Source organism: Homo sapiens, chromosome X (genome assembly GCF_000001405.40).
Source record: "Homo sapiens chromosome X, GRCh38.p14 Primary Assembly".
Classification (NCBI taxonomy): domain Eukaryota; kingdom Metazoa; phylum Chordata; class Mammalia; order Primates; family Hominidae; genus Homo; species Homo sapiens.
Genome location: NC_000023.11, coordinates 49,923,276 through 49,949,610, shown reverse-complemented (window position 1 = coordinate 49,949,610; position 26,335 = coordinate 49,923,276). Strand labels below are relative to the sequence as shown.

The following is a 26,335-nucleotide window of genomic DNA, read 5'->3' as shown; positions in this document are numbered from 1 at the left end:
GTTCCCCTTGAAAAAAAATCAGCACTGAAAAAGTCTGGGGATAATTTACTTTAATAGTCAAATAACCAGAACACCTAGAAAAGAAAATAAATTGTCCATCTATCTGATATGTATGCTGTTATTAAAAGCCAAACAATTGTCATATCCTCTAGCTTTCAACTAGGTAGCAAGGTTAAGAATTACAGGACATCAGCATTAATACAAAGGGGCATCAATGGTCACCGCCATGGATCTCCTGCCCTACCCAAAATTCCCTTCATCAAGGTTCCTCAACTTCAGCATTACTGATATCTTGGGTCAGATAATTCTTCATGGTAGGGAGTTGGCCTGTGCATTGTAGGATGTTTATCAGCTTACCTGGCCTGTTCCCACTAGATGCCAGTAACACCTCCCCACAATTGTGACAAACAAAAATGTCTCCAGACATTGCTAAATGTCCCCAGGGGGTAAAATTGCCCCTAGTTGAGAACCACTACTATGGATCCTGTCCATGATTATCCTAAATTTCTTTGGAATTAAGCTTTTACAGAGACTGGCAATTTTCAGTGTGTAACTGCTTATGCAACACAGCCTCATTAATACAACATGCAATGATACACTCTCATTGGCAATCTTTCCAATTAATTTGCATTTAATACACATATAGTAGAATATACTTTTGCAAAATGACCCATTACACTGCAGAGATTATCCATGTATCTTTTTCAGAGCCAAAACAATGTTTTCACATGAACAGTGATTTTGGTAGCTAATATTTTAGATTAAGATATTTATATTTTACAACCCATGATATATTTAATGTTAGCACCCTGGCTTTAATTTACTGACCAAAGTTTTCAATATACTACCCATCTACCACCCCATTCTCCTTAAGCCCCCATACTTACTGTTACCTGCTGAATTGCTCATGTGTTCTGGTTCCCAGTGATTAAGCCCTATACTCAGCCACCCACCTTTTCATCTAAAGTACTGACAGAGGGTTATTCTATTTCCTTGGGTCTATGCATATAAGCAAATTGGGAAGGAGTACTAATGAGAGGTTATCAGCTGCAAAATAACAGAATCAACCAAACATGTAAGGAATATCTACCGTTTAATGCTATGGAGACACAAAAAGAAATAAATATAAGACATGAAAGAACCACAGAATTAAAAAAAAAACACATCAACCATATGCCCAAAGTCATTCAGCTAGCTGATTTTATATGCTGATAGTGGAGCATCCAAGTAAGGGTATCCTGATTGCAGCTATCTAGAGTTTAGAGCTACCTTTATAGATCTGGGACTCAACACCTGGAGAAAGAACACCAATCCGATAATGGTGGTTACGTCTGAGGATGAGGTTGAAGGGGCATTTTCACTTTTTACTCTAGATGCATCTATATTATTTTTTAATAGGAACATGTAATTGTGTGTTACTTCTATAATTAAAAACCAAAAAAAAAAAAAAGGTGAAGCCAGGAGTGTAGATGAAATCTCTGAGGCAGTGAGTATAAAGAGAAAAAAGGTAAAGAACTTTACACCCCTGAATATGGACATAATTAGGAGGCAGGAGGAAACAAAAGTAATGGAGAAGCAGTGACAGAGGCAGGCAGAAAGGGAACTAGAGGAGTACAACTCTGTGGCCAAGGGAGGGAAGTTTCAAAAAGGAACTGAACAGTCAACACAACCCAAAACGGGAAAAGGTAGAGAAATAAGATGGCAGAACAGAATTTAGGTCAGAAAGAGGCTTCTTAAAAATCATAACCTCCTCCCTACATCACGTCCCTCAATCTCTGAGGAAATTGAGGCCCAGAAAAATTAAGTGGCTGACTAGATAGGTACTGGTAGCTAGAAGATACAGCAAACGAAGACCAGAACATGTTTATGGACGACAGCGAATGGGTCCAGTGGAAAGGAAGAGAAGAAGAAACCAGAAGAAAAGAGGTATAATTGAATAAGTAGTATCTACAATAAACAGAGAAGGGACTGAAGCAGAAGTAGACAAAATAATACAGCTTTTCCTCTGAGGCTGGATAACTTGTTTCCTTTTTGTTTGGGTTGCTATATAAGGAGGTGAGGGAAATCCCTCAAACTGAGTACCTGGATTTCCCCCAGAATTCTACCCTTGGCACCTTTTCCCTCTCAAAGTATACTCATATCCTAGGCTTCATATATCATCTATACATGAAGGATCCCAAATCTCTACTCGAGCCCAGACCCTCTCTATACCCCAGGCCATGGGGAAATGAACATCTCTAGGTGGATATCTGATAGGCACCCAAATTCAAATCATCTCAACTTTGCTCCCACTCCAGCACTCTGTCTCAGTGGAAGGCCCCACACAATGAATGACTTCAGGCAAACTACTGAACATCATCTCTCATTTTATCTTTGTAAGTAGATGAAAAAACATTTGGTGGATGACAGTAAAGTTAGAGTCACAGCTGTTAGAGCAGCCTTACCCAAGTGAGTGTTTGTTGATGGATAACAGTAAGTTAAAAAGTCTTGGCCAGGCGCGGTGGCTCATGCCTCTAATCCCAGCATTTTGGGAGGCCAAGACGGGCAGATCACCTGAGGTCAGGAGTTCAAGACCAGCCTGACCAACACAGAGAAACCCCATCTCTACTAAAAATACAAAATCACATGGTGGCACATGACTGTAATCCCAGCTACTCGGGAGGCTGAGGCAGGAGAATCGCTTGAATCCAGGAAGCGGAGGTTGTGGTGAGCCGAGATCACGCCATTGCACTCCAGCCTGGGTAACAAGAGCGAAACTCCATCTCAAAAAATAAAAATAAAAAAAAAGAAAAAGAAAAAAAGAAAGTCTTCAATTAGCCTGATTCAGAGCTATGCCAAATATAGCAGACAGACCATAAGGTGACCCCCAATGACGCCCACCTCCTGGTATTCATGTCCTTGTTTAATCACCTTTCCCTGAGTATGAGTGGGACATGTGAGTAGGTTCTAACCAATAGAATATGGCAAGGGTAATGAGAAGCCACTCCCATGACTAGGTATATATGTGTATATTATTGATTCCTTCTTGCCATTGTGAGAGACAAACTGAGACTTTATCCCTCGCTGGCCTTGAAAAAGCAAGGTGCTGTTATATGAACTGCCTATGGAAAGACCATGTGACAGGGAATTGCAGGCAGCCCCTAGGATCTGAGGGCCTCAATCCCACAACCACAAAGAACTAAATTCTGCCAACAATCACATGAGCTTGGAAGAGAACCCCGAGCCTGAGATGAGACCACCAGCTCTGCCAACACCTTGATTGCAGCCTGTGAGACCCTGAGCAGAGGACCAAGTTGAGCCACGACCATCTCCTGACCCATGGAAACTGCAAGATAATAAATGGTTGTTGTTCCGAGCAATTAAGTTTGTGGTAATTCATTATGCAGCAACGGAAAACAAATATAGCAAACAATGTTTTATTAATTACTTGGACAAAGATATTTATGAAAAATATGTGATAATAAAGCTAAAACTAACAAGAGGAACAATAAATCAAAATTTAATTACATTGATATTTAAGTAAAGGCATAGAAGGGTTCTTGTTTAAAAAACTAGGCTGAGCACAGTGGCTCATGCCTGTAGTCCTAGCACTTTGGGAGGCCGAGGTGGGCGGATTGCTTGAGCTCAGGAGTTCAAGACCAGCCTGGGCAACACAGTGAAACCCCGTCTCTACTAAAATACAAAAAATTAGCCAGGCGTGGCAGCGTGTGCCTGTAGTCCCAGCTACTCAGGAGGCTGAGGCAGGAGAATTGCTTGAACCCAGGAGGCGGAGGTTGCAGTAAGTGGAGATCGTGCCACTGCACTCCAGCCTGGGAGACAGAGCAAGACTCTGTCTCCAAAAAAAAAATTGAAAGGGCGGCCGGGCACGGTGGCTCATGCCTGTAATGCCAGCACCTTGGGAGGCCAGGGCGGGCAGATCATGAGGTCAGGAGATCGAGACCATCCTGGCCAACATGGTGAAACCCCGTCTCTACTAAAAATACAAAAAAAAAAAAAAAAAAAAAAACTAGCTGGGCGTGGTGGCGCGAGCCCATAAATGCAGCTACTGGAGAGGCAGAAGAATCGCTTGAACCAGGGAGTCGGAGGTTGCAGCGAGCTTAGATCACGCCACTGCACTCCAGCCTGGTGACAGAGTAAGACTCCATCTTAAAAAAAAAAAATCGAAAGGGCGCTTATTTCAGCAGCACATATACTAAAATTAGAATGATACAGAGAAGATTAGCATGGTCCCTGCACAGGGATGACATGCACATTTTTGAAAAAATTAGAAGAGAAAGGGACAGACAGAAACTTGGAGGAAAAAGTGGGTTCTGGGCTCATTATGAGTTCATACTAAGAAATAATTATCCAAAACCCAATACTATTTGCGACCATATTAACAGGGTATAATGTACAAAACAAAAAGTCTTATTGTGCCACATGAACTGGTTAAATCAGATCAATAAATACTTCCTGGGTGACTCTACTTAAGGAATTAGGAGGAATAGAGGGATGTATAAACTATGTTCCTATCTCTAAAGTATCTTCCACTCTACTGGGGAGCTAACATAAACATATAAGAAAGTTAAACCATAATAAAGAAGTTAAATAACAGTTTAAGACAATGGCAGAAAAGATGTAAAGCTGGCATTACAATTTATCTAGCAACTAGTTAAAGGTAATAACAGACGCAGGAGTTCAGAAGAGGGTGATAACATATCACATGATAAATATTATGACTACTTTGCAATATGATATAAAAGTGGGTGTATTTTAGACCAATATCCCTGATGAGCATCGATGCAAAACTCCTCAATAAAATACTGGCAAACCGAATCCAGCAGCACATCAAAAAGCTTATCCACCACGATCAAGTTGGCTTCATCCCTGGGATGCAAGGCTGGTTCAACATACGCAAATCAATAAATGTAATCCAGCATATAAACAGAACCAAAGACAAAAACCACATGATTATCTCAATAGATGCAGAAAAGGCCTTTGACAAAATTCAACAACCTTCATGCTAAAAACTCTCAATAAATTCGGTATTGATGGGACGTATCTCAAAATAATAAGAGCTATTTATGAGAAACCCACAGCCAATATCATACTGAATGGGCAAAAACTGGAAGCATTCCCTTTGAAAACTGGCACAAGACAGGGATGACCTCTCTCACCACTCCTATTCAACATAGTGTTGGAAGTTCTGGCCAGGGCAATCAGGGAGGAGAAGGAAATAAAGGGTATTCAATTAGGAAAAGAGGAAGTCAAATTGTCCCTGTTTGCAGATGATATGATTGTATATCTAGAAAACCCCATCATCTCAGCCCAAAATCTCCTTAAGCTGATAGGCAACTTCAGCAAAGTCTCAGGATACAAAATCAATGTGCAAAAATCACAAGCATTCTTATACACCAATAACAGACCAACAGAGAGCCAAATCATGAGTGAATTTCCATTCACAATTGCTACAAAGAGAATAAAATACCTAGTAATCCAACTTACAAGGGATGTGAAGGACCTCTTCAAGGAGAACTACAAACTAATGCTCAACGAAATAAAAGAGGATACAAACAAATGGAAGAACATTCCATGCTCATGGATAGGAAGAATCAATAATGTGAAAATGGCCATACTGCCCAAGGTTAATTTATAGATTCAATGCCATCCCCATCCAGCTACCAATGACTTTCTTCACAGAATTGGAAAAAACTACTTTAAAGTTCATATGGAACCAAAAAAGAGCCCGCATTGCCAAGTCAATCCTAAGCCAAAAGAACAAAGCTGGAGACATCACGCTACCTGACTTCAAACTATACTACAAGGCTACAGTAACCAAAACAGTATGGTACTGGTACCAAAACAGAGATATAGACCAATGGAACAGAACAGAGCACTCAGAAATAATGCCACATATCTACAACCATCTGATCTTTGACAAACCTGACAAAAACAAGCAATGGGGAAAGGATTCCCTAGTTAATAAATGGTGCTGGGAAAACTGGCTAGCCATATGTAGAAAGCTGAAACTGGATCCCTTCCTTACACCTTATACAAAAATTAATTCAAGATGGATTAAAGACTTACATGTTAGACCTAAAACCATAAAAACCCTAGAAGAAAACCTAGGCAATACCATTCAGGACATAGGCATGGGCAAGGACTTCATGTCTAAAACACCAAAAGCAATGGCAACAAAAGCCAAAATTGACAAATGGGATCTAATTAAACTAAAGAGCTTCTGCACAGCAAAAGAAACCCCCATCAGAGTGAACAGGCAACCTACAGAATGGGAGAAAATTTTTGCAACCTACTCATCTGACAAAGGGCTAATATCCAGAATCTACAATGAACTCAAACAAATTTACAAGAAAACAAGCAACCCCATCAAAAAGTGACCGAAGGATATGAACAGACACTTCTCAAAAGAAAACATTTATGCAGCCAAGAAACACATGAAAAAATGCTCATCATCACTGGCCATCAGAGAAATGCAAATCAAAACCACAATGAGATACCATCTCACACCAGTTAGAATGGCAATCATTAAAAAGTCAGGAAACAACAGGTGCTGGAGAGGATGTGGAGAAATAGGAACACTTTTACACTGTTGGTGGGACTGTAAACTAGTTCAACCATTGTGGAAGTCAGTGTGGCGATTCCTCAGGGATCTAGAACTAGAAATACCATTTGACCCAGCCATCCCATTACTGGGTATATACCCAAAGGATTATAAATCATGCTGCTATAAAGACACATGTACACGTATGTTTATTGCGGCACTATTCACAATAGCAAAGACTTGGAACCAACCCAAGTGTCCAGCAATGATAGACCGGATTAAGAAAATGTGACACATATGCACGATGGGATACTATGCAGCCATAAAAAAGGATGAGTTCATGTCCTTTGTAGGGACATGGATGAAGCTGGAAACCATCATTCTCAGCAAACTATCGCAAGGACAAAAAAACAAACACCGCAAGTTCTCACTCATAGGTGGGAATTGAACAATGAGAACACTTGGACGCAGGAAGGGGAACATCACACACCGGGGCCTGTCGTGGGGTAGGGGGGAGGGGGGAGGGATACCATTAGGAGGTATACCTAATGTAAATGATGAGTTAATAGGTGCAGCACACCAACATGGCACATGTATACATATGTAACAAACCTGCACATTGTGCACATGTACCCTAAAACTTAAAGTATAATAATAATTTTTAAAAATTTGCCTAGATAAGACCATCAAAGGAAAACATACTCAGAAAGTCAAGACAAGCCTTTATTAGCTGGAAGAGTTCACAGTATTAAGTGGATATCAATTGATGTGGGGAAGATTCTATACTCATTGCCCTACATTATCCATCAAAATTTCTTTGCTTTACTTCCTGGAGTACTAGATATGAATTTGAAAGGACATTTTAATTCAAACAAGTATTTCAGATTAATTCAACAAGAATGCCACTCGAATTCATTCTAATTTAACATTAATCAAGATTAAAAAAAAGAATAAATGGTGTTCAATTTATTGAGTTCAAAACTGGGGTGGGGGATACAGAGGCAGAGAGACTCCAGAAATGCCCTGACTACTGTGCCACCTTGAGTGCCCAGAGAAGTGCAGGTGGCAGTGGTTGTGAATGTGTGTATTGGGTGGGGCAGGGAAACACACAGCCCCATTCTCCTGCAAAAAAAAAAAAAAAAAAAAAAAGATACTGATTGAGAAAGATATATCATTGGGCAGGTAAAAAAAAGATATTGATTGAGAAAGACATAATAGGGCAGGTGGTAGAGACTGGAGTAATGGGAACAATTGTGAGAAAGGAAAAGGCTATGTAATTTCAGGCTGTAGAAAGACTGGAATCGGGTAGAAAGACTGGAATCATAAATAATGCAACTTTTGAGATATTTTTTCTGGTTGTGGGAACCAGAATATGAGGAGCTGCCTGGAGTTTGGTTTGCAGTTGAACCTGGACCTGGAGGTTATGTCTAGAGAACGAGGCAGAAAGATTCTTATCTTTGCTGGTGATCACAGAAGCTGTTAGAACTGGCCTCAGCTTGGACTGGGCATGAAGGAGGGAAGAATTGGGAGAAGAAACCAGACATCCTAGAAAGACAGAGAAGATGCTGAGCTCTGATTGGGCTGGACTTTGTATGTGATCAAAGCCTGTACTTGACTGCCCTGCACGGAGGATGTTGCTTACATTTCTCATTCCATAATAAAGTATTCTGAGTTGACTGAGGTCAAGAAAGAGAAAAGAACCAATAATAATAGCTATCATTTATGAGTACTCACCATGTGCTTTTTTTTGAGACAGAGTCTTGCTCTGTCACCTAGGCTGGAGTGCAGTGGCATGATCTGGGCTACTGCAACTTCTGCCTCCTGGGTTCAAGCAATTCTCATGCCTCAGCTTCCCAAGCAGCTGGGACTACAGGCATGCACCACCACGCCTGGCTAGTTTTTGTATTTTTATAGAGATGGAGTTTCACCATGTTGGCCAGGCTGGTCTCAAACTGGTCTCAAGTGATCACCCGCCTTGACCTCCCAAAGTGCCGGGATTACAGGTGTGAGCCACCACACCCAGCCTACCATGTGCTTTTAAAAGTGCTTTACATGGATTATCTCATTTAATCTTTCCAGTAATGGTATAGCAGATAGGAACTGAGGCATAAAGTGGTTGGGTAGTATTCTGAAATTGTAACTGGTAGAGCCTGAGTCTGAGGCAGTCTGGCTCTAGAACCTGTGCTTTTAGTTATTCTGTATTTCTAGGACCATAGCTCCCAGAATCCCTTCTTCACTGCCACCCCCAATCAATCAAGGTAATGGCCAGCTGTGAAAGAAATTTCCTATTAGAGTACTCTTGCTGTGGCCCTAACGAGCAAGTGAAATCATTTCAAGGGAGTGAGAAAGCAGAGGCTTGAATAAAGCCCGTGGGTAAGTGAAATACAATCCTGTAGCCAAAATGCTATATTCTTTCTAAATTTAAATAAGTGATTTTGTATCTTCTGTGTGGAAGACACTATTAGGTATTATGGGTGGGACTAAGAAGATTCAGAAGCAGATACCGTCCTTCCAAAAGCTAGTCTCTGAGGAAGTTAAAACATGTGCACTAATAACCATAACCCAAACTTATGTTAGAGACATGGTTAGAGAGTTGTGGACTACCACAGAAGTTAGACGAAGGTGAGGAGGTAGCATCTGAGGAAGACCATGCAGTATGGGTAGGTTCTTCTGTAGCTGGAGATGTCAGAGATATGATTTCAGTCAGCAAAGTACCAGGTACATTTGAGGGAACATGAAAGTGTCATGCCAGGCCTGTTATATTTATATACATTGTCTCATTAACTCTTCGTAACAACCCTTTATTGACCAAATGATTTAATTGTCAAAACCAGGACACTTTGGAGAGTGGAGTATGAATCAGATGGAATAGGAATAAACAGGGGCCCAGGAAAACCAGGACCTATGAGGCAGTTGTTATTATTCCCATTTAACACGTTACAAAATGAGGCCTCACATCACATAGCTAGGAGTTGGTGGAGCTAGGATTTGAATCCAATTCTGGCTTCAAAACTAAAAGATTCATACTTCATTCCATATACAGTGGGATGCAATTGAAGGGCTTTGGGCAGAGAGCTGTCATGGTCAGAACTATGCAGGACAGATGGAAAAAAGAGACTGGAATTGGGGTGATGAGTTAAGAGATTGCTGAATAAGATTCATGTAGAACATTCTAAGTACCTGTATATAAGATGCTAACTTTGGAATTTAAAGGAAGTGATAAATGTAAGAGATACCACAAAGCACAAAGGAATAAATGACAAAGTTAGACTACCGGGCAACTTTTTTTTTAAGTTTTAGGGTACATGTGCACAATGTGCAGGTTTGTTACATATGTATACATGTGCCATGTTGGTGTGTTGCACCCATTAACTCATCATTTACATTAGGTATACCTCCTAATGCTATCCCTCCCCTCTACCCCCTACCCCACGACAGGCCCCGGTGTGTGATGTTCCCCTTCCTGCGTCCAAGTGTTCTCATTGTTCAATTCTCACCTATGAGTGAGAACATGCAGTGTTTGGTTTTTTGTCCTTGCGATAGTTTGCTGAGAATGATGGTTTCCAGCTTCATCCATGTCCCTACAAAGGACATGAACTCATCCTTTTTTATGGCTGCATAGTATCCCATCGTGTATATGTGTCACATTTTCTTAATCCGGTCTATCATTGCTGGACACTTGGGTTGGTTCCAAGTCTTTGCTATTGTGAATAGTGCCGCAATAAACATACGTGTACATGTGTCTTTATAGCAGCATGATTTATAATCCTTTGGGTATATACCCAGTAATGGGATGGCTGGGTCAAATGGTATTTCTAGTTCTAGATCCCTGAGGAATCGCCACACTGACTTCCACAAGGGTTGAACTAGTTTACAGTCCCACCAACAGTGTAAAAGTGTTCCTATTTCTCCACATCCTTTCCAGCACCTGTTGTTTCCTGACTTTTTAATGATTGCCATTCTAACTGGTGTGAGGTGGTATCTCATTGTGGTTTTGATTTGCATTTCTCTGATGGCCAGTGATGATGAGCATTTTTTCATGTGTTTCTTGGCTGCATAAATGTTTTCTTTTGAGAAGTGTCTGTTCATATCCTTCGGTCACTTTTTGATGGGGTTGCTTGTTTTCTTGTAAATTTGTTTGAGTTCATTGTAGATTCTGGATATTAGCCCTTTGTCAGATGAGTAGGTTGCAAAAATTTTCTCCCATTCTGTAGGTTGCCTGTTCACTCTGATGGGGGTTTCTTTTGCTGTGCAGAAGCTCTTTAGTTTAATTAGATCCCATTTGTCAATTTTGGCTTTTGTTGCCATTGCTTTTGGTGTTTTAGACATGAAGTCCTTGCCCATGCCTATGTCCTGAATGGTATTGCCTAGGTTTTCTTCTAGGGTTTTTATGGTTTTTAGGTCTAACATGTAAGTCTTTAATCCATCTTGAATTAATTTTTGTATAAGGTGTAAGGAAGGGATCCAGTTTCAGCTTTCTACATATGGCTAGCCAGTTTTCCCAGCACCATTTATTAACTAGGGAATCCTTTCCCCATTGCTTGTTTTCGTCAGGTTTGTCAAAGATCAGATGGTTGTAGATATGCGGCATTATTTCTGAGGGCTCTGTTCTGTTCCATTGGTCTATATCTCTGTTTTGGTACCAGTACCATACTGTTTTGGTTACTGTAGCCTTGTAGTATAGTTTGAAGTCAGGTAGCGTGATGTCTCCAGCTTTGTTCTTTTGGCTTAGGAATGACTTGGCAATGTGGGCTCTTTTTTGGTTCCATATGAACTTTAAAGTAGTTTTTTCCAATTCTGTGAAGAAAGTCATTGGTAGCTTGATGGGGATGGCATTGAATCTATAAATTACCTTGGGCAGTATGGCCATTTTCACAATAATCAATATCTTAAAGTAAAACCTGTCTTGTGTTCTACCACCTATCTCCTGGCTAAAACCCCAAATATTAGAGAAGCAGGGTCACTTAACACAGGATAGTGACTCTTGTCTCTGAACATCCACAACTGGGTGAAGGAACTCTCTTCATTATGCCAAACCAAGAGGACATTCTGACAGACAACCCTTTGACTTCTTGTATCTCAGACAAAAACCCTCTTTTTGGGGGAGACTGAGCTAGAAGGGGCCTTAAGAATTTGAAGATTTAACTTAATCCAAACATTATCAGGTAAATATTAGGTAATTTATATCTTCTCTACTTCAAGCATAAGATTATACTTGCATTTTTCCTCAGGTCCTTAAGTAAAAAGCTCAAGAAATTGTAGCTTAGCATTCACTTGCAACATTTAAACAAATCAAACAAGAAAAACAGCTATTATTCTACACATTGAAACATTTAATTTTTAAATTGTAGTCTGGAATACAATTACTATGCTGTTTAGTTATTAATATACCCAGAGATCAAAACTAATGATATGATTACAACTGTTTCATCAAAAAACTAATAAAGTAATTTTTACCCAATTTAATCTTACTTGTTTTCTTAGCATTACGCTTTAACAAAGCAACATCTCTCCTAAGTCCTCTGGCCACAGAGGTAGCTTTTAGAGGCCCTTGGTTTTATCAGAGTCAGCCTCCTTTGCTTCAGACCTGATCTCTCACCTCAACCACTAATATTCCTTTTATTTCTTAGTATAAATTGTCGAGGAAATAATCTAGTGAGGTAAAGTTTTTATTTAAATTTTAGTATTTAAAGGTTTTACAGGTTGTTGTAAACAAGTCGAGCAGTGTACAGAAAGGTGTCAAGTGAAAACTAAAATCCCTAGCCTTGCCACCTCTAATCTCCAAGGTAACTGACAACTGTTTCTTGTGCGTCATCCTAGAAATTTTCTAAGCATATGCAAGAACACATATACACGAATTCTTAAATAATACCTCCCTTCTTTGTGTTGAACAAGTGGGATCCTATAATATATACCATTCTGCACCCCTTTTTTCACTTAAAAATTTATCTTGGACACCATTCCCTGTCACTATATGTACATCTACTTTACTGTCTTACTCTATCACCCAGGCTGGAGTGCAGTGGCACAATCACTGCAGCCTCAAACTCCTGATCCCAAGTGATCTTTCCACCTAAGCCTCCTAAATTGCTGGGATTACAGGCGTGAACCACCACGTCCAGGCTACTTTACTCTTTTAAATGAAATGAACAGCATTCCATAGTATGTAAATATCATAATTAACATGACTGGTCTCTCATGCTGTACATTAATAAGACTGTTGATAGTAAAAAGATGGCAACTAGAAGGCAACCAAGATCCTTGTAACAAGTGACCTTCATGCAGTTCCTTTTGAGAAGATTCATTGGGACAAAAGTTGTACAAGTTACATTTTGAAAAAGTCTTTCAAAGTGCGCTCTAATGGATTCTACCAACTTATATGCCTACCAACAGTGCACGGAGCTGGACTTTTCAGTCAATCATCTGAAGTTCTTGCAGTTTAAATAGGGAACAGATATTTAACATAAAAATAGCAAAACACTGATCATTTTGTTATGTCTTTTAACAGTCTAGAAAACCAAGTGCCATAATTGGTACCAACCACATCCTGATATGATTAGCCTTGCCCCATCCAAACGCAAATTCAAAGAATGCTATTCCTCAGTATTAACCCAGCTCCTAAATAATGAATTATTATAGGTTGAGAGATTTAGAAGTAGATTTAGCATAGAAGAGAAAGCTATACTGCTCCTGGCACCACTACCCATAATTATCTCTAACACCAGGAGTGCCACAAAATGGTGTGATATAAGGGAGTTTCCACTCACCCATAATTAGTTAAAGGCATTGATCAAAGAGACACATTGAATATGTAAGAACACAGTACATCAGCATGTTCATGGCATGGGATGAACTAATTGAAAGATTTTGCTAGTTTAACAGAGAATGGGGTTGGGGGGATGTGGTTCCTAGTGACAGTGAAGACCTATAAGCATCACTACATAGAATCTAGTGAATTATTTTGCAAAGCACCTTAGCATACTTTATCTCATTTAATCTCCATGGCAATCCTGATAGGAAGGCAAGGCAGTTATTACTCATTAAAGAAAGATTCAATGAGCACATACTATGTGCTGGGCACTCTCTGCCAGGTATTTGGTATGAGAAGATGAATGAGACACTCCCCATTCATTCACTGGTCACTCTGCCATATCCAATCTATCTCCAAGGCCTTCATGTTACCAAGTTAGGGTACTTGGTAACATGGCCTATAAAACCCTGTGTGGCCTGTCCCCTGCCCACCTTTCCAATTTTATCATGTGTCCCTTTATGCCTCATTCACTATGGTCCTGCTGCAATGGACCATGCTGGGAAAGGACCCAGGGATTCTTCCCACCTCAGGGATTTCCACCTTGTCTCCTCTGCCTGGGATGCTGTTCCCCCAACTCTTTGCGTGGATAACTCCTCCTCATCTTTCAGGTCTCAGATGAACTTGTCACTTCCTCCCATTCCCTTCTTCTCTCTATAAATTCAGTCTCTACTATTCTTTTTCATAGGACTTGACTTTTCTAGTACTCACAACACTTTATAAGAAAATATCTGTGTATTTATTTGCACTCCAACTCCCCCATGAGACTGCAAGGCTTAAGAGGGCAGGGATCATGACTTTTGTATTCACTGCTTTAACCCCAGCATCCACCCAACACAGTGCCTGCCTGGCACACAGCAGATGTGAGAACAAAAATATTGAACAAGTGCAGTCAATGCCCTCAAGGACCATACAATAGAGCCAGAAGCCAATTTTACCAGAGGATCGGGGAGGCTTCAGGAAAAGCTCATGGCTGAAAGATAAGCAGGTAGTTGCTAGGAATGTTACCAACTGAAATGATCTAGGCCAGCAGGGGTGGACTGCAGGTAAGGGGGAGCAAGAAATGCATGGTGTCTCTTAGAATTTGGGCTTTGACATCTGGGTCCATGGTGGTACAATTATTCAATACAGAGGAATGTAAGATAAGGAAACTCTGTTATTATTGTGTATTACTGGGGTACAGGACCCAAGGAAAAGAATAGCTTGACAGAGTTGAGAATTTGGATGGCAGGAACTCTCTTGCCTACCTGTCTCTCACCATTCTCAAAGCTAAACAGGAAAGATCATGATTTCAACCTGGGAATATTCAGTGCTGAGTCACAGGTGGCCACAGGTAAGGCCAGACCAAAGGGAGGGCAGTGGAAGGGCCAGAAGATTTAGCATAGACAGAGCCAGGGTTTTCTTTTGCATCTGAACACGTTTTTTGGCCAGAAGATGTCAACGATGTAACTTATCGTGCTTGTCTTTGGGAAGGAGGGACACAGAAGAAAAGAAAGAGAAAACTTCAGTGTCTAGTATCTCACATGCCTAGTAATATCGATTTCATTTCCACTGGATGGTCCCTGTCCTGCATTTATTTCTAATTGCTCTATGTTTTAATTTCTGTGTTGTTCTATGTTCCTCCTGGATGTAGTCAGGGCAGAAATCCTAAATAAATATAATAAATTGCCACCTAATGCCAGAATGGTATTGGGTTGAAAATCATCAAAATATGACATTACTAAGGGAGACACTTCATACTATTAACTCCTCAACAGCTTCTTTGGCCTGACCATGGGTCTATAAATACTGGGTAGTTAAGAGAAGGTAGGAAGGAAAAGAAGAAGGAGAATCTGGCATTCGTAGCCACCAATAATGAAACTTTCTAGTCCTGCCTCCCCCAACCCTTGACACACAGAACAGCATTACATGAAACAGGAAGCTGAATCATAATTCTGGTTAAATAATAAGAATTTATAGTTTATTTCATAAGCTAACATAGTGAGAAGAAGGGGAAAAAAAACATCCTGGAAGCCTCAATGGAAAACCTATTTTTGAGGGGAGAAAAAAAACTAAACGTTTCACGGTAGCAGTAAAGCATAGTAGGAAAAGACTAAGATTCAACAGAAAACTGTAAGATACCCAAGCCTGGGGAAGGCAGTGCAATGCAGTAGGACCAAATAGGTAGACAGATTGACAGAGAAAGAGCGGGCTGGGCAGCACTGATTATCAGGAGCCCCAGGGTCTAGTCCTGGCTTTGGGTACGATGTGACAGCTGTGTGGCCTAAAATAAGTCTCACTGGGCCTCAGTTTCTTCCTTTGCAAGATTATACATCTGAAACAGATCACCTCTGAAGACCCCTTCCAGTTTAAAAATCTCTTTAATAATATACCTAATTTTATTTTTCATGCCAAAACTTATAATCCAATCAGAACAGCTATAATGGACCAGGCATTCTGATGACTGACTCTCATCTAGAAGCACGTGCAGTAAATATTATCATAACCTTTCACATATTATAAAGGCCAGCATGTGCAAGTGCTTTGCTGCATTTGTATTCACTCACTACACTACATCCTCCCAATAATCCTGAGTAGGTATTAGTATTAACCCCATTTTACAGATGAAGAAGGTAAGGCACAAAGAGATTAAATAACCTGCCCAAAGTCACATGGCTAGTAGTGACAGAGCCAGGATACAAATCCAGGGAGTCTGTCTCCAGACATGACACTTGACCCCGGATGTGACAATTGAGGCTTCTGGAGTTTAAATAACCTTGGCTACCAAATGGCAGACCTGGGTTCAGATTCAGGTTATCGCACTCCAAGACCTGTGCTCCCTCCACAACTGTGTGCTTGGGAAAGAATAACTGACTCTTAGAGAATAATTTTTTGAAAGGTTGTTTTCGTTTACCCTCTATTCAATGACTTCCATCAGAATCCATTCCCCACCAATTTCTCCCCACTGAAGAGTTATGGAAAGGCAAAAGGTGAAGAGAGACAAGGAACTCATTTCTTTTTAAATTTTTTAAATTTATTTCTTTATTATTTTAATTGACAAAGAATTCGCTTCTTGAGTACCTGCTGTAGGTGAGGCACTGTGCCAGATAGAGGAAAAGGGGCTGGGGGTGGAGGCTGCCTGCTTCTTTATTCCTGCTCTAACAACCTGACTTTCTTTCAAGAGTTACCTACTTTTGTTTCGGTCAACAAGCAGGACCAGATGGCTTCTCTTAGGTGATAGTGGTCCAATTAGCAAGCCACATGGCTACCCAGATTTCACACTAAAGCTTTCTCGTCAATTCACCCACTGCTTTGTGAGGCTCCCTCTTGCTCCCCACCTCCCATGTGTTGGCTAAATCACCAGAGTGTTTACAAATACACTGCAATGTGCCAAAAAAAAATCTGCACAGTCAAAACATATACTTCCTTTCAATTTGAAGAACAGTTTCTCATTGCAACTATTTTATTCTGATTTTCCTCTGCCTTATTTTCACACTTAGCCTGACGTATATTTTGCCACCTCACCTTATTCTGCAACCTCTACATTAGATACAGTGTAATTTGCCATCTTTTGCACATCTTCCAAGAGTTTTTTGTAGTCAATGGGAGAGACAGCCAAAAATTACAAGAGTACTTGAGGAAGTATTAATAGCAAAAAACCTGTTCTAACCAAACCCTCAGGGGCCTGGTTTCTTCTCTTTTGCTCTTTTGCTGGAACGTAGAAGGGGACACAGAGTGGCTAAGCAGTTGTCCAGGGGGCCACACATGCTGCGCTCCTTGCTGCCAGGTACTTGTTGAGAGTCTACTGACTCTTATATCTCATTTTCAAATCACTTGTTTTCTGTTATAAAAGTTATACACATTATTGCATAAAAATTGAAAGTAAATAAAAGTATAAAAAAAGGAAGATAAAAGTAACTGTATCCCATCATCTGGAGACAGCCAGTGCAACAACTTTGGATCATTTCCTTTCTTTCTGTACTTATCTTCACTTCATAGGTGTATATGTAACATGTAAACACAGAGAGATACATAAACCCACACTTGAGTTAAAAAGAGAGAGATGGGTCCAGGCATGATGGCTCATGCCTGTAATCCCTGCACTTTGGGAGGCCAAGGCAGGTGGATCACTTGAGCTTAGGAGTTCGAGACCAGCCTGGGCAACAAGGCAAAACCCTGTCTCTACAAACACTACAAAAATTAGCCAAGTATAGTGGTGCGTGCCTGTAGACCCGGCTACTCAGGAGGCTGAGGTGGGAGGACTGCTTGAGCCTGGGAGTTTGAGGTTACAGTGAGCCAAGATCCTACCACTGCACTCCAGGCTGGGTGACAGAGGGAGTCCCCACAGCATCAGTCTTTTTTTTTTTTTTGAGACAGGGTCTCAATCTGTTGCCCAGGCTGGGGTGCAGTGGCGAGATCATAGCTCACTACAGCCTCAGTCTCCTGGGGTCCAGTGATCCCATGTCAGCCACCCGAGTAGCTGGGACGACAGGTGTGCACCACCATGCCTGGCTAGTTAGCAAAACTCTGTCTCAAAAAAAAAAAAAAAGTTTTCTTTTAGTAGAGATGGAATCTATGTTGCCCACGCTAGTCTTGAACTCCTGAACTCAAGCAATCCTCCTGCCTTGGCCTCCGAAGGTCCTGGGATTACAGGTGTAAGCCACCACACCCAGCTAGTCTTTATTTTTAATGGCCAGATATTATACTGTTTGGAACTATCATAATATACTTACATTCCCCTAGTATGAAAACTATGTCTTCAGTTTTTTCACTATAAATACCTTAGCATATAAAGCTGGGTACATATATCTGATATTTCCTTCAGAAATTATACTTTTTAAAATTAACAATCCATGATATTTACAGAAAAGTGGAAAGATACATGTAAGCAAAAATAAAGTCAACTATAATTTCTTTTTTAAAATACTTTTGCATATATCCTCTCAGACTTTTTTTTATACTATCCATACATGGACACAAACACATAAATTAAAATGGGATCATACTATTAATAATTTTTAAATAGCAACAATAATAATAATAGTTACCATGTATTGAGTACTTACCACATGACAGGCACTGTGATTTTCTCATTTAATCCCTTCAACAATCACCTCAACAACTGCTCGGCTTTCTCAAACTTGTTTGCACATTAGAATCACCTGGGGAACTTCAAAAATACTGTTCTCTGTCCCGTCCCCAGAGATTCAGATTTAATTGGCTGAGTGAGGCCTAGGCTTGGGAAGTTTGGAAAGATCACCAGGTGATCTTTGGGCACACTAGCTAGGAACTATTAGGTTAGCTACTATTTTATCCCTATTTTACTGATGGGGAAATCAAGGAACACTAAGACAAGTAATATACCCAACAGCACACAGCTGATAAAGGTGTAGCTGGGATTTGAATTCAGATTTAAGCCCAGAGTCCATACTTTTAATGACAGTTGACCCTTGAACAATACGGGTTTGAACTGCACAGGTTCACTTACACGCAGATGTTTTTCAACCAAATGCACAGATGGAAAATACGGTAATCTCAGAATATGACACCCATGAATATGGAAGGCCAAATTTTCCTATATGCAGGTTCTGTAAGGCCAACTGCAGGACCTGAGTATGCTAGGATTTTAGTATACTTGGGGTCTTCAAATCCCCCGAGCACATGGAGGGATGACTGTATCAACAGTTCGGAATCTGCTTTTCCCTGCTCCCCCACTCCCTGACCCCTGGGTTTAACATTATGTTATGAACCTATTTCTGTGTTACTAAATAGAACTCTACATTATCATTTTTGGTAATTACCATATTCCATTGTATGGATGCATCAAAATGCAAGTGTTTTCAATTTTTCCCATTATAGAAAATGCTGCAATTAATATCCTTATTGATACATCTTTGTGCATACCCTTAATTACTTCCTTAGGATAAATTCCAAGAAAATGAATTGCTGGGTCAGAAGGTAAACATATTTTTTAAAGCTTTTAATAAATATTGCCAAACTGACATTCCCACCACAAGTGTATGAGAACATCTGCTTCCTTGAGTCCTTGCCAACAGTGAGTTCTGTCATTCCTTTTTAATCTTTGCAAATTATACTGGAGAAAATGGTATGCCATTCTAATTCCCCTTTATTTGACTGCTACTGAGATACATGTTTACTGGCCATTTGCATTTCTTCTTTGATGTATTTTCCTTTGCACATTTTCCCTCGTCCTTTGTACATTTTTCTAGTAAAATACTTGTTTTTTTCTTATCCCCCTGTTAAGTCTTTGTGTTACAGATAATAAATCTTGCTGCAATTGTTTCTAGTTTTCTCATTAACTTTATTTATGGTTTGTGCAGAAATTTTAAATTTTCATATAACTGATTATATTAATCTTTTTCCTTATTATTCTACCTTTGATATTATGCACACAAATATCTTCCCTATCCCCAAGATTATATATATAGTCTTCCATATTTTTTGAGTTCCTTTATCATCGCCTTCTCCAAAAAAAAAAAAAACAAAAAACCTATATTTATTGCAGCAGTTCCAAAACAGGATTGTAATGCTCAGGTCTTAAGACTGAATCACAATTTGGGGGAATGGGGACCTGAGTAGGAATATTTTTTAAAGCACTACAGGTAATTCTGATGTCCCCTCCTTTATTAAGAAACATTATATTAACCCTTCTAAATTTATGCTGTCATTTTTTCCAAATTACTTCAGCATATGTGTTAAATAAATCATTTCATTAATTTGAAGTGCTACCTTTATCCTGGTTCTTAAGTTCCATTACAGTAGAGACCATACTTGTTTCCACTGACCATTGCGTCTCTAGGGCCCAGCAGAGTGCCTGCTGCACAAGTAGTGTTCAATAAATGTTAATGGAATAAATAAACAACACCTGACAACACAAGTCTCCAACCTCAAACTGGCTGGAGGTTATTAATGATAACCCTGAGTTATCAAAAATATTAAATTATGCTCAGTACACTGTTTAAAGTGGCCAGAAAATATATTAGAGGGCTCCATTAAGTGAAGTCAAAATAATGTTGGCCCCATTTAAGAGGTATGGGAATTCAGATCAAATTCTCCATGGAGGAACCAGACAGCAATGAGCCAAGAACCTAAGGAGATTTGGGCTCCTGTAGCCCTTAGGGTTCCTCAACAAGCTCTACAGACTGACTCAGAAGCTTCCTTGAGCTGAGAACAGACTCACACATTGCCTCTTCCATGAGCCCACGGAAAGAATACTGGAATAGGGAATTAGGTGACCTGGATTTTAATACTAGCTCTAGGATCAACTACTACCTGTTTGACGTTGGGCATATCACTTAACCTCTAGGAATTGAGCTAGATGTTTGTTGTTGTTTTTTGAGATGGAGTCTGGCTCTGTCGCCCAGGCTGGAGGGCAGTGGCACGATCTCGGCTCACTGCAAGCTCCGCCTCCTGGGTTCACGCCATTCTCCTGCCTCAGCCTCCCGAGTAGCTGGGACTACAGGCACCCGCCACCATGCCCGACTAACTTTTTGTATATTTAGTAGAGGCGGGGTTTCACCGTGTTAGCCAGGATGGTCTCGATCTCCTGACCTCGTGATCCGCCCGCCTCGGCCTCACAAAGTGCTGGGATTACAGGCGTGAGCCACCGCGCCCGGCTGCTAGATGTTTTCTAAGAATCTTTTCAAGTCTAAACTTCTACTTAAAGACCCAAACAGACAACCACAGGACAGGGCTTCCAAGGACAACCTAAAATTACCTCCACAGAACAAGGTCCCAGTCCCACCCCAGGTTATAAGAAAATAATAGTGATAGTAGTAATAACGGCTATTGCTAAATTTTACTGAGCACTTATTATATGCTACACAATATTCTAAATGTTTTACTATTATAATAATGGCATACACTTATATGGCATTTACTATGTTCCAAGTGCTCTGCATATATTAGCTTAATTTCTCTTCACACCAAGCCTATCAGGTGTTCTACTTTTCTCCCTTTTCAAAAATTGATATATAATAGCTGTACATATTTGGGGGGTATATGTGATATTTTGATACACGTATACAATGTGTAATGATCAAATCAGGGTAACTGGGATATTCATCACCTCTAACATTTATCTTTTCTTTGTGTTAGAAACATTCCAATTTTTTACTTCAAGCCATTTTGAAATATATAATTATTGTTAACTGTAGTCTCCCTACTGTACTATTGAATACTAAAACTTTTTCCTTCTCTCTAGCTGTATGTTTATAACCATTAACCCACTTCTCTTCATTCCCCAAACTCCTTCCCTTCCCAGCCTCTGGAAACCACCATTCGACTTTCTACCTTCATGAGATCCACATTTTTTAACTCCCACATATGAGTGAGAATATGCAGTATTTATCTTTCTGTGCCTGGCTTATTTTACTTAACATAATGACTTCCAGTTCCATCCATGTTGCTGCAAATGACAGGATTTCATTCTTTTTATGGCTGAATAATATTTTGTTGAATATATGTAACACATGTTTTTTATCCATTCATCCAGTGATGGACACTTAAGTTGATTTCCTATCTTGGCTATTGTGAGTAGTGCTGCAATATACATGGGAGTGCAGCTCTCTCTTCAATACTGATTTCCTTTCTTTTGGCTATATACTCAGCAATGGGATGAGTTATATTACTATCTCCATTTTGTAAAGGAGAAAACTTCCACACAGAGAGATTAAGTTACTTGCCCAAGGCCTCGTAGCTACCAAGTGACAGAACCAATGGAGTAGAACTCAGACCCACACATTTAACTATCATACCACACTGCTTCCAAACTATCATCGTACTTTGCTGGTTACTTCAGAGGTTAGCCAAAACAAAGGATAAGCTGCAGTTATCCAAAGAGCTTACTTATATAGAATACTCCCCTCTTCACTAATGCTGGAAAAATGAGGTTTCACTTCAATGTAATTTTAAGCACATCTGATTTCAGGGCCTGGGCTTGCAAAATACATTATTTACTATGAAAATATGACATTTTGATTAAGAGTTGTTAAACATTAAAATGTTTTTATTGTAAAATAAATCATTAACTAGTAATGACATTTCCATTAACTACAGAGAAAAAAATACAAGCTCTTTATGCATCATTAGGAACAAAACTTTAGATCCCCATCTGTGCCAATATCAGTTCTGTACTTTCAAAACTGTCTTTGAAACATTGACCTGACAGTACATAGGTGTCTCAACCCAAACAGGTCATCCAAATCCAGTGCACCACCCCCATGCCCATCAGCTGCCTCCCATGCTCCCCATCTCAGAGAATGGCACCAGTGGCCCCCAGGCACCCAAGCTGGTAGTTAATCCAGGCCCATTTCTTGCCACATCCAGTCACAGAACATTCTAGAATCCCATTCTAACCTTACTGCCCCTGCTTCTGCTCAGACCCTTACCATCTCTCCCCTAAACTATTCCAGAAACCTCCTGACTGACTCCCAGTTTTCATCATTTCCAGCTCAGCACTGCTGCCAAAGTAATCTTTCTAAAACAAAATCTGATTATGTTACTTCCCTGTTTAGAATCTTTGTCTTCAGGATAAAGTGTAAAATCCTTCCTAGAACATACAAGGCTCTTTATTATCTGGCCTCCAACTACCTTCCCTGCTTCATCTGAGGTCGCGCCCCTACACATCTCACATGAGGCAAACAGAGCAACTTGGAACTTCCCAAACAGTGCTGCTCTGTCTGCCCAGAATGCAATTCTCTCATTTGCTCCTACTCATTTTTTTAGACCAGCTCAAAACTCAGACTTCATCAAGCTTTTCTCGGGGCTTCCCTTGCTTTTTGTACCTCTCTATTCTAACACTTATTCAACATGGCAAAATTATTTGTTTGTATGTCTGTCTTTAGATGACAAGGAATCTTCTAGCATCCTGCAACTTATTCATCTCTGTATTTCGTTTGTTGAATGAAATAATGTCTCAGGATTTAAGCAAGAATATCCAAACTGCTCTTGATAAATGCCCATTGTGTGAGTCAAAGGAAGCATACAGGCCAAATCCCGTTTCCATAAATGTCTTCTCATTGATAATCTTTATACATGGAAACTACTTGTTACATTTGTGTGCCTACATAAAGTCACAACCAACACAATGAAACATTTTTAAAAGATACATTAGACCACCAACTAACCAACCTGCTGAATATTTCTAGATATTCAAGCTATTTCATTCCACTCCATTTAAGTGGTCTTTAACTTTTTGTGGGTCACAGGCCAATTTTGGTAGTGTTTGTCTATCATTTCTTAAACCCACACTCACTTTTGATAACAATAAAAATCCCACATACCCGTGGAGACTCCTAAACCCTCCAAAGGGCACAAACCGCAACTCCGCTCAAAATAAAACATAACTTTGTATGTGGTAGGAATTCACAAGTTCATGAGAGATGTAATACATCAGCTAAGATACTACTGAGCTTTGCTCTCAGGTAGTTCATATTATTAAAACAGGCGTTTTCCTTCTCAATGTTTATATTGTATCAAATATAAACACTGTAACATTAAATATGCTCTTTCAAACTGCATACATCACAAAGTTTTTATTGGGAAGATGAAGCTGGAGAGGCAGTGACATCTGTCTCCCCAACCTTATGGTGGGGAATCTTATGATAGAAATTTGCCAGAAACAAATGAAAAACACAAATGGGAAAAAATATCCTGTCTCCTGGCATATAACCCCCAATGATCACTTATTTAAATGAAGGGAGTTCTTTTAAATGCTGCTGGCATGGCATTTTCCTACTTCTCCTACAACCCCACTTTTAAATAATTTAAACTTATAGCTAGCAGCAGCTTCTTTTTAAACTAATGTGTTTTGTCCCTGCAAAGACAAAGGGTTAAATTAAAGAACAGCTGGCTGCCTGCCATTGGCTGGGTGGGGAACGGTTGGGTGAGGGTAGAGAATAGAGTAGGAGGAAAAACCAGTTAGAAGAATAAGTGCTAATTTCTTACCCTGCCACATGGCCATCTTGATCCTATCTTCACCCACGCTGGGGTCACAGGCTGAGTTTCCCAGAGCCTCTCAGTTTTGTAGGGAGACTTGATAGAAAGGCAGCTATGTGGCCCTGTTTTCTCCAAGGGGCTAAAGCCCCAAACCTGAAAATGTAAACAGAAAAATGAATACCTAAAAGAAACTATACACTTCAAATGCTTGAAAATTATCTCCTGCTCCTCTCTGAACCTCTCTTTCAAAGATATGCAGGCATGGGTAGTGTCAAGTTTCCCTCTAAGCAGCAAGGTATCTCTGAAGAGAGAGAGATCTGGAGTGAGTTAATGTTGCCACTCAGTGCTATACATTTCTGCATGAATCATTAGAGCTTCAGTAAATGAGGTCTGAGTCTCAGTTGATGAGTTGCTGGATGAAATCACCGTTAAGCACCTTTCCTACCTTGAAGTTTCATGCTTTGGAGACTGAAGAGCAACATTAATATCCAGTGCCCTAACCAACCCCCAAAATACCCAACTTTACATTTAAAAATCAGTAGAAGGAGAGGAAAGTTTATGAATAAAGTTTGGAAACAGATCTTGTATAGGGGAAAAAAAAGGAAGCGGAATAAAAAGTGAAGAGTGATGATACCCTTTGAGTAGTAGTTCTCTCTCCTTGTGTCATTATACTTTCCCACCCTTTGCAAATTTCCTATAGTGAGCGTATATTGCTTTTATAATCAGGGGGAAAATGAACCAAAGAAGAAGAAAAATGTAAAAATGGAATACCAGTTTAAAGAAAACCAAATTAATTCAGCTAATTCCTGTTGTTAAAACTTCAAATCCAGTCCTAGGACAATATTTGCAAAGATATTAAAGGAGTTAGGGGCCGGGTGCGGTGTAATCCCAGCACTTTGGGAGGCCGAAGCAGGCGGATCACCTGAGGTCAGTTCGAGACCAGCCTGGCCAACATGGTGAAACCCCGTCTCTACTAAAAATACAAAAATTAGCCAGGTATGGCGGTGCACTATAATTACAAGTGACGCCTGTAATCCCAGCTACTCGGAAGGCTGAGGCAGGAGAATCGCTTGAACCCGGGAGGGAGGCGGAGGTTGCAGTGAGCCAAGATTGTGCCACTGCACTCCAGCCTGGGCGACAGAACGAGAGCCGGCTCAAACCAAAAAAAAAAAAAAAAATAGGAGCTAGGAATGGGAGAAAAAATGAGAGGTCTGACGACTTAGTTTGACTTAGAGGCTTAACACTCTGCTTGCCCATTTAAACAAGATCTCAGTTAATAAACTGGTCTTCCCTACTTAGCATACAAGCCAATCTGTTTTTTCTAAAAGTCTTCACCTTTTTGACCTGGTGAACATCAAAGTAGATTGTTATTTCCATATCTTTTATACAACCAACACCTCCACCTCCTAAGTGAAAGTGCTAAAGCACAAACACTGAAGGCTAATACTAGCTTGAGAATCGTGTTGGCCTTCTTTAATGACAAAAGGGTTAATGTGTACACCAGTCCCAAAACACCAACAGAGAAAAGACAGTGCTTTGGACAAGGAAAAGTTCGCGAAGTCCAAGAAAACTAGGAACTCACAAACTCCTAGGGTGAATTCAGCAGGAAAAAGCGCTCCGATGACTTCTCTGAGACCTGGGACAGTCTGTTTTGATTTGCCTTTTTTCTTCTCCTATTTCGCGTGCAGTTAAGAAGTAATGATCATCGTCCCGTGGGACTAGGCGAAATTTAACATCCCTGAAGTTAAACCCGAGCAGTTGCTAATAAATGTATGAAGTTTATGTAAAGTTGATTCGTGCTGGTTTTTTATGCTCCAAACTTCTAGATTTCCCTCACTTACTCGGGGCAGCTTCCACTGACGTTATCGCACGGGCACAGGTACAACTTCACTGGGAACTCCAGGCAACTGATTTGCTCTGAAATGTTAATCAAAGGAAACGTGCGTCAATGTAAAGGCAAAGCTTTTCCCGTGTGGATCAAGGCGCTCAAGAGCAAGGCTCGAAAGTCTGGAGAGAACCAGCTACGCGCGTTAAGTGGCAAAAGGAAA

At 40.2% G+C, this 26,335-nt stretch overlaps 1 protein-coding gene and 1 pseudogene across 6 annotated transcripts in view; one reads left to right on the top strand and one right to left on the bottom strand.

Moving 5' to 3' along the window:
• Nucleotides 1–26,335, bottom strand: part of CLCN5 (chloride voltage-gated channel 5) — a 176,635-nt gene that overhangs the window by 149,620 nt on the left and 680 nt on the right. For 3 of the 6 annotated variants that reach the window (NR_199781.1, NM_001440757.1, NM_001127899.4), the window contains exons 2-3: nucleotides 25,870–26,204; nucleotides 24,297–24,440 (exon numbers count right to left, since the gene is read on the bottom strand). Coding sequence is in view for 5 of the 6 variants with exons in the window: in NM_001440757.1 (NP_001427686.1) it covers nucleotides 24,297–24,312 (16 nt within the window). In the remaining variant the exon portion in view is untranslated. The remainder of the gene's footprint in view (nucleotides 1–24,296; nucleotides 24,441–25,869; nucleotides 26,205–26,335) is intronic. The other 3 variants (NM_001440756.1, NM_001127898.4, NM_001272102.2) reach the window with 1 other exon arrangement.
• Nucleotides 4,169–4,275, top strand: RNU6-421P (RNA, U6 small nuclear 421, pseudogene; annotated as a pseudogene).